Source organism: Homo sapiens, chromosome 2, assembly GCF_000001405.40.
Source record: "Homo sapiens chromosome 2, GRCh38.p14 Primary Assembly".
Taxonomy (NCBI): domain Eukaryota; kingdom Metazoa; phylum Chordata; class Mammalia; order Primates; family Hominidae; genus Homo; species Homo sapiens.
The window spans coordinates 171,967,555-171,976,586 of record NC_000002.12 but is presented as its reverse complement, the minus strand read 5'-3'; the positions used below and the strand labels follow the sequence as shown (position 1 = coordinate 171,976,586).

The 9,032-nt window shown below is 39.5% G+C and overlaps 1 protein-coding gene and 1 pseudogene across 3 annotated transcripts in view; one reads left to right on the top strand and one right to left on the bottom strand.

Moving 5' to 3' along the window:
- Positions 1 to 9,032, bottom strand: part of HAT1 (histone acetyltransferase 1) — a 61,226-nt gene that overhangs the window by 7,100 nt on the left and 45,094 nt on the right. For all 3 annotated transcript variants that reach the window (NR_027862.2, XM_006712808.4, NM_003642.4), the window contains one exon: positions 279 to 430. Coding sequence is in view for 2 of the 3 variants with exons in the window: in XM_006712808.4 (XP_006712871.1) it covers positions 279 to 430 (152 nt within the window). In the remaining variant the exon portion in view is untranslated. The remainder of the gene's footprint in view (positions 1 to 278; positions 431 to 9,032) is intronic.
- LOC100420002 (PDGFA associated protein 1 pseudogene) lies at positions 3,337 to 3,845 on the top strand (annotated as a pseudogene).

Sequence of the window (9,032 nt, the reverse complement as noted above, 5' to 3'; positions counted from 1 at the left end):
CTCTGCTTGTTATGCTTAATATAGCAATAACACCTATTATCTTCCCATTTTATTAATGAGGAAACTGAGGCACGAGGTAAATTAAATTGCCATAAATCACAGAGCAAGTGTTGGAGCTAGATTTGAACTCAGGCAATTTGGCTTCAAAGCTGTACTGTTAACCATTGCTAGTTCCCACACATGTATTCTTAATGTCTTTATAATATTTTAGTTAAGGTATACACTTCAAAAATTTGTTTGTAATTTAAATCTGTTTTCCTCCTACAGAATAAAAATACCTTATTTATTTTGAACTTCTGTTGTGCCTCTATCACCATATCTTCATTGAATCCTTGCATTAATTTTTCCCGGGAAAAACAGGGCAAATCTTGACAAAGCTTCACAAGCACAAAGTCTCGTAATTTCACATAGCTTTTGGATGGATCTTCCGCTAAATAAATAAAGCAGAATAATATTAACATTTCCCTGATACTCAATATAATTTCTTCATCTTTTGCAATCTCAACATATATGCTAGGCTGCTCAGGAGGCTGAGGCCTGAGAATCGCTTGAGCCTGGGAGGTGGAGGTTCTACCACTGCACTCCAGCCTGGGTGACAGAGCGAGACTCTGTCTAAAAGAAGAAAAGAAAAAAGACATCAAATCAATATAACCTAAGAGTCACTCTTAACTAGATAAGGAAGGGCAAATTAAACCCAAAGTAATAAGAAGCAATAATAATAATAGAGTAGAAATCAATGAAAAAGAAAACAAAAATAGACAAGTTCACATAAACACAAAGTTGGTTCTTTGAAATGATCGATGAATTGACAAACTTTTAGTTAGAATGACTGAAAAAAAAGAGAGAAAACAACATTTACCAAAATCAGGCATGAAAGAAGGGATATTCCTACCAACTTTACAAAAATCACAAGAATTAAAAGGGAATATGCCATGAACTTTATGCCAACAAATGAGACAATTTAGATGAAACAGACAGCTTTTAGAAAGAAATTACCAAAATGACTCAAAAAGTAAATGACTATGTGAACTGACTATAACAGAGACATTTAATTACCAACTAAAAATCTTCCCACAAAGACAAGTCTACAACCAGATGGCTTTACTGGTAAATTCCATGAAACAACCTGAAGAAGACATAACGATGATCCTTCACAAACTATTCTAGAAAATAGAGGAAACAGGCCAGGCACAGTGGCTCACACCTGTAATCCCAGCACTTTGGAAGGCTGAGGCGGGCGGATCACCTGAGGTCAGGAGTTTGAGACCAGCCTGGCCAACATGGTGAAACTCCATCTCTACTAAAAATATAAAAATTAGCCATGAGTGGTGGCGCAGGCCTGTAGTCCCAGCTACTTGGGAGGCTGAGGCAGAAGAATCGCTTGAACCTGGGAGGCAGAGGTTGCAGTGAGCCAAGGTGGTACCACTGCACTCCTGCCTGGGCAACAGAGTGAGACTCCATCTCCATTAAAAAAAAAAAAAAAAGAAAGAAAATAGAGGAAACACTTTCCAACTCATTCTATGAGGCCAGAGTTATGCTGACACTAAGGATCTAAGACAAAAACTACAAATCAATATCCCTCATGAATGTAGATACAAATGTCCTCAACAAATATTAGCAAACCAAATCTGGCAATATATAAAATGAATTACATACCAGAACTAAATGGGATTTATATCAGAAATGCAAAGTTGGTTTAACATCCAAAAAAAATCAATTAATGTAATATACCATGTTAACAAAATAAATGAGAAAAATTCAATACATGCAGAACAAAGCGTTTGACAAAATCCAACATCAATTCATGATAAAAACGCTCAATAATCAACTATCTAGAAATAGAAGGGAACTGCCTCAATTTCATAATTAACACATATGAAAGCTATAGCTAACATCATCCACAATGGTGAAAGACCAAATGCTTTCCCTCTAAAACTGGGAGCAAGGCATAGATGTCTGCTTTCACCATTGCCAGTCACCATTATATTGGAGTTCTCAGCTAAGCAATCGGGTAAGAAAAAGAAAGAAAATGCATCTGACTGCAAAGGAAGAGGTAAAAATGTCTTTATTTACAGACAATGTGATCCTGTATGTGGAAAATTCTAACCAAAAAACTACTGCAACTAATAAACAAGTTCAGTAAGAGTGCAGGATAGAAGATCAATATATAAAACCCAACTGTATTTCTACATACTAAAACAATCAATGATCCAAAAACAAAATTAAGAAATTAAGAAAATAATCCCATTTCCAACAGCATCAAAAATATTTACAAATGAAGTTAACAAAAGTAGTGCAAAACTTGTATACTGAAAACAACATTGTTGAGAAAAGTTTTAAAAGATCTAACTAAATGGAGATATTTCTTTTTTTTTTTTTCTTTTTCTTTTTTTCTTTTTTTTTTTTTTTTTTTGAGACAGGGTCTCACTCACCCAGGCTGCAGTGCAGTGTACGATCTTGGCTCACGGCAGCCTCAACCTCCTGGGCTCCAGTGATCCTCCCACCTCAGCCTCCTGAGTAGCTGGGCCCACGGGTGCTTGCCACCATGCCTGGCTAAATTTTGTATTTTTGTAGAGATGGGATTTCATCACATTGCCTAGGCTGCTCTCGAACTCCTGGGCTCAAGCGATCCACCTGCTGTGGCCTCCCAATGTGCTGGGATTACAGGTGCAAGCCACCAAGCCTGGCCCAAGACATTTCATATTAATGGATTAGAGCAGTGATCCCCAACCTTTTTGGTACCAGAAGTGCCAAAAATATCTAGCACCAGGGATTTTGTGGGAGGCAATATTTCCCTGGGGATGAGGGGAACAGACAAGGGATGGTTTCCAGATGAAACTGTTCTACCTCAGATCAGTCATCAGGCGTTAGTTAGATTCGACCTACATCCTTCACATGTGCAGTTCACAATAGGGTTTGTGCTCCTATGAGAATCTAATGCCACCACTGATCCGACAGGAGGTAGAGCTCAGGCAGTAATGCTTGTTCACCCATCATTTACCTCCTGCTGTGTGACCCAGTCCTAATAGGCTCTGGACCAGTACCAGTCCGTAGCCCGGGATTTTGAGACTCCTGGATTAGAGGATTCTGAATTGTTAAGATGGGAATTTTCTTCAAATTAATGACAGATTCAATGTAATCCCTCAATCCCTATCAAGACCCAAGAGACTTTTTTTTTTTTTTTTTGCAGAAATTGGTGAGCTTATGCTAAAATTTTTATGGAAATACAAGGGACATTATAAACAAAATAATTTTGAAAAAGAACAAAATTGGAGGACTTTCACTTCTGATTTCAAGACTCATATGTGGTTGAGGTGCTGCTTTGCCAGAGCCTCTGTGCCTAAAGGAAGGAGAAAGGGAGGCCACAAAGGCTAAGCAAGGCAGTACAATATTCCCCAAGCAGATCAACGCACAGCTCCAAGTTGAAAAGCAGAAGGCCAGAGAAGACACAAGAAGAGAGTGGAGAATGGAGGCTGCAAGTGACCCCAAAAAAGAAGAAATCTCTAGCATCAGGCAAGAGATTGCCTGAGAATGAAGATGACTGACTGCCAACAAAAGTACAAAGGCACAGAACAGCTCATTGACATGAAGAACCCCAATTGGATGCCATAGATAACCAGAAAGGTCACACAACTGAATCTGGGCAGGCCAAAGGAGATTTCAAGAAAAGAAGACATTGAGAAGAGAAAGCAAAAGAGCATTACATGAAATTGCATTTAGCTGGGGAGACAGAGCAGGTGATTATCTGGAAATAGCAGGAGAAAGCCAAGAGGAAGAAAGAGAGGAAAGCAAAAGATGATTCATGTTTGTCAGGAAAGTGAATGCAGTCACTCTCCCTGAAGAAGTAAGCATGGACTATATAGGAGCAGATACCAGGAACTGGGCCATGCTGCCAAAACCTCTGCTGTGCCTTGCCCACTCTGTGCTGTCGCCACTGCAGCAGCCCTTTACAGCTAGGAGACCCCACAGCTTGCTGCCTGTGGGGGTTGGGGCAGGGCACCTGCTATAACTTTGTGTGTGCCAGGCCAGGTGCAGCTGCTCACACCTGTGATCCCTTGCTTTGGGAGGCCAAGGCAGGAGGACAGCTGGAGCCCTGGAGTTCAAGACCAGCCTGGGCAACATAGTGAGACCCCATCTCTACAGAAAATACTTTAAAAATTAGCCAAGTATGGTGGCATGTGCCTGTAGTTCCAGCTACTTGGGAGTCTGAGGCAGGAGTTTTGCTTAACCCCAGGAGTTCAAGGCGCAATAAGCTATCACTCCACTGCACTCCAGCCTGGGTGACAGAGCAACACCCTGTCTCAAACACTACCCCTACCTCACCAAAAAACAAAAAAAAAAACAACAAAAACAAACAAACAAAAAAAAAAAACAAAAGAAAAACCCTGGAAAGATGCAGATAGCATTTCATATGTAACCGTTTAAATGTTTTCTTAAAAACTATCTTTAAGAGTTCAGGATTCTGGTCGGGGGCCTGGGAGGAGTGCCTTAGAAAGTAGGGTTTTGTCAGGTACATTACACAGTAGGGGGTGGTTGTGCCAGGGGTTGAGCACTGATGAGTTTGCAACATGCAGCCCCTATGTGTGTTGCTTGGGTGCTCACTCAGAAAGGGGCTGCCCTTTGGGACCCTGTACTCCTGTGTCCTTGAGGGTCATGGCCCAAGCCCAGCCAGTCCACTCTGAAGCCTCCATCTCTACCCTTCTTTGTCCCATTCCCACCTGCCTGGCCAGGGCTAGGACCCATTTTTAACCCTACACCATCGAGCATTTCAAGAAACTTCTGTTTACCTTGCAGCACACAGGCAAAATATGTTCCACAAATTCAACTCGTATATTTGACAGGCTAAACTTGACATTATCGTTTTAAAAATAAATAAATAAATAAAAAATATAAAGCTATATCAACCTAATCATGACGGCTTGGTAGTGGCATAAGGGTAGAAGTATAGATCATTAGAGAGCCCGGTAATAAACCTTCACATTTATGGTCAACTGATTTTCAAGAAAAGTACCAAGGCAATTCAATGAGGAAAGACACTCCGTTCAACAAATGGTGCCAGGACAGCTGGATATCCACATCTAAGAAGATGAACGAGATACTTACCTCACATCATACACAACAATTTATTCAAAATGGACCAAGGACCTCAATGGACGTCGGGTGTAGGGAAGGAAACTGACTACAAATGGACACGAAGGATCTTTTCAGTGATGGAAATGTTCTAAAACAGGCAGGTTTACTAAAAACCACTGAACTGTCCACTTAAAATGGGTGAATTTTATGGTCTGGAAATTATACCTCAATAAAGTTGTTTTAATTAAAAACTCTACTAGAGACAAACGCTTAAGCAAGTATCTCTTGTAAAACATTTTTTTGTTTGTTTGTTTGTGAGACGGAGTCTCGCTCTGTCACCCGGGCTGGAGTACAGTGGCGCGATCTTGGCTCACTCAAGCTCCACCTCTGGGTTTACGCCATTCTCCTGCCTCAGCGTCCCAAGTAGCTGGGACTACAGGGCGCCCACCATCACGCCTGGCTAATTTTTTTATTTTTAGTAGAGACAGGGTTTCACCATGTTAGCCAAGACGGTCTCGATCTTCTGACCTTGTGATCTGCCCGCCTCGGCCTCCCAAAGTGCTGGGATTACAGGCGTGAGCCATGGCACCCGGCCACATTTTTTCAAGTACTAATAGATGAGGTACAAGCTTATCCAATGTCAGTTTTTCCAAGTCTATTTCTTTCTAAATTGGTTGAGAAAAACAACTGCATTGCAGCCAGGGGTGGTGGCTCACGCCTGTAATCCCAGCACTTGGGGAGGCCGAGGCCGGAGGGTCACAAGGTTAGGAGTTCGAGACCAGCCTGGCCAATACGGTGAAACCCCGTCTCTACTAAAAATACAAAAATTAGCCGGGCATGGTGGCACGCACCTGTAGTCCCAGCTACTTGGGAGGCTGAGGCAGGAGAATTGCTTGAACCCGGGAGGTGGAGGTTGCAGTGAACCAAGATCGCACCACTGCACTCCAGCCTGGGGGACAGAGGGAGACTCCGTCTCAAAAAAAAAAAAAAAAAAAAAAAAAAAAAAAAAAAAAAAAAGAAACTGCATTGCTAATACTGATTTAAACTAACATTTAGTGTATGTGTGTATGGCTGTGTGTGTGTATGTGTGTGTGAATCTGTGTGTTTTTTTGAGACAGAGTCTCACTCTGTCACCAGGGTGGGGTGCAGTGGCAGGATCTCGGCTCACAGGTTCAAGTGATTCTCCTGCCTCAGCCTCCCGAGTAGCTGGGACTACAAGTGCATGCCACCACGCCTGGCTAATTTTTTGTATTTTTAGTAGAGACAGGGTTTCACCATGCTAGCCAGGATGGTCTCGATCTCTTGACCTCGTGATCCACCTGCCTCGACCTCCCAAAGTGTGTGTGTATTTTTTAAGACAGGGTCTCGCTCTGTCCCCCTAGCTGGAGTGCAATAGCGCAATCACAGCTCACTGCAGCCTTGACCTCCTGGGCTCTAACGATCCTCTCATCTCAGTCCCCCAAGTAGCTGGCTGGGACCATAGGTGTGTGACACCATATCCAGCTAATTAAAAAAAATTTTTTTATAGAGACGGGAATCTCCCTATGTTGCCCAGGCTGGTCTTGAACCCCTGAGCTCAAGCAACCCTCCAGCTCAGCCTCCCAAACTTCTGGGATTACAGGCATGAGCCACTGTAACCAGCTGAGTGAAATTTTAAGTAACTTCTATACCCTCAGAAAAGTTTAGGAAATAGGTATCATAGGAAAATGAGTTACAGTTGAGAAAAACTACTCAGGCCACATTTTTACCTGAAATTTTCACATAAGTCAAAAAACATGCAAAAAAATTTCCAGTTTTAAATAAGCCATTATGACTGATAATACTTTGTTTGCAGCTTAATATAAGGAACCAAGTCACCACTCAATCTTTAAGCCCTTTGAAAGTGTCAGTCTGAAATGAACTTAAAACGACACCCAATAATGTATGACATCCTTCAATTCCTTTGTTTCTATGCTACAAAGATAAGCAACATATTTAAAGATAAAATTTTCTTGAATTTAAATCTACAATGATATGCAGGATCAAAAACTGAGTTTTTTCTAAATGTAATACATCATCTAGCAATCGTTTTTTTAAAGCTTCTCATATTAACATACATATTAGTGATAAAAAATCATATTCTAAAGAAGGGAAATGAGATAACAGCACAATCACCTAAGTTATAAACAATTCACATAATATTCTAAAAAGCTATATGGCACATCCCAGAACAATAAAGTACATTTAAAGGACAAATATAATTAGCTCTTAATGTACTACTGATAGATAATAATACTGATATGTATTCCAGCCCAGAATCGATTTCTATTGCCAAATGCAACTCCTTTCAGAAGTCCAGAGGAAACAAGATCATTGATTCTATTTATAAAGTTATACAACTGAGATGTATTCAAATGCTGTACATCTTAAGAGAATAGTATCTTCAAAAGGCAGATGGTATACAAGGAATTGTCTGCCAGTATTTTACCTTAAAATTGAGTGCAAAAAAATGAAAATGGGTGGCAATTATACCACAAACACCCATCCATTGGAAGTAAGATATAACTTAGGCCATCTACAGGAAGTTTCAATTATTATTAGATCTGGCTATCTGTCAAGTAAGCAAAAGGCCATCTCAATATAAAGAATATTCTGGATTGCAAATGGAGATCCAGAGCCTGCAAAAGAACCACAAAGCTAAAAAAGCACACACAATAATGGAGAAACAGGCAACTAAATGACAGAAGAGTAGAAAAATCTGCAGTTTTGTTTTTTAAGGACTGGGTATGGAAATCTAGGAGAAATAAATATCTTAATGAGAACAGCTGATAAGGCATTTTTAGTATTTTTAAATGCTGAGAAATGTTAATGCTGAAAATAAAGGCCAATACCCAGTTGTCAAATTCAGAAGTCCTTTAGCATGTTTAGTCTTTTCTTTTTAGAGACTTCAGTTTCTAATGAATAACACCAATGAATAAAGGCTACCATTATTGATGACTCTTCACTGAGATTTAAGAAATAAAATTCTTTATCTGCTAATTGGTGCTAAGTATCAAGGACTTTATTGGTTGGAGTAGACAGAAGAAAGTGGTTAAGAGGCTTCAGAGAAACAACCCCTGCTGGCACATTACCCACTAGAGTAGACAAAGACTACTTATGTGAACTCCACATTAAAATCACCAAAAATGTCCCTTCATGTAGCAGCAAGTCTAAGCTCTATAAGTTAATAGAAGCTAAACAATTTTCTGCTCAACTAAAAGAAGTGACATAGTCTGTATTATGTTTCTACAATTTTATAAGTCACTAAGCTAGTGAAGTTGTCGCTTAAACAATTTATAACTTTTGTTATAAACGAAGTTTAGTAACTACTACTTTATCTCCTGAGTTTCCAACCCATTTAACAGTAGCAGGAAAGTCAGATGAAAAGATAATTCACCTCTATAAATGTGAAACTCCCTTTTAAAGACAACGTGCTTTCCCTCCAGTTTATTATTCTACAGATCAATTCACTGTTCTGAAGCAACTTCAATTTTATTTACCTTGGATTACTAGTCTATATAAAGAAGGATGAAACAATCTGCTTACTAGCCTATTTATGTGGTTGCCAGTCTTACAACCATTTTTTTTTTGGTGGGGGTGGGTGGGTGGGAGGTGGTGTCTTTAAACAAAATTCCCAAATAGCATTTTTTAACATGTTAATGTTTTAGTGCATGTTAAATAGTATAGTTTGTAACAAAGATGTATCCAAATTCAAACTTGTAAGATTAATAAATTTTAATACCAATTTGCATGTAACTATCTGGTAAAGTATTTTTCAATAAAAGAAAAAGGTAACTTTCAGTTTCATCAGCAATTTTATGAACAACAAATTTGAAAGTTAGAAAATAACATAAATATTCCTTGGGCCACTTTGTTTTTTGGTGGATCACACTTTAACATATTATCTGAAACTCCATCTAATAATGCCTTCTCCTTTTGAA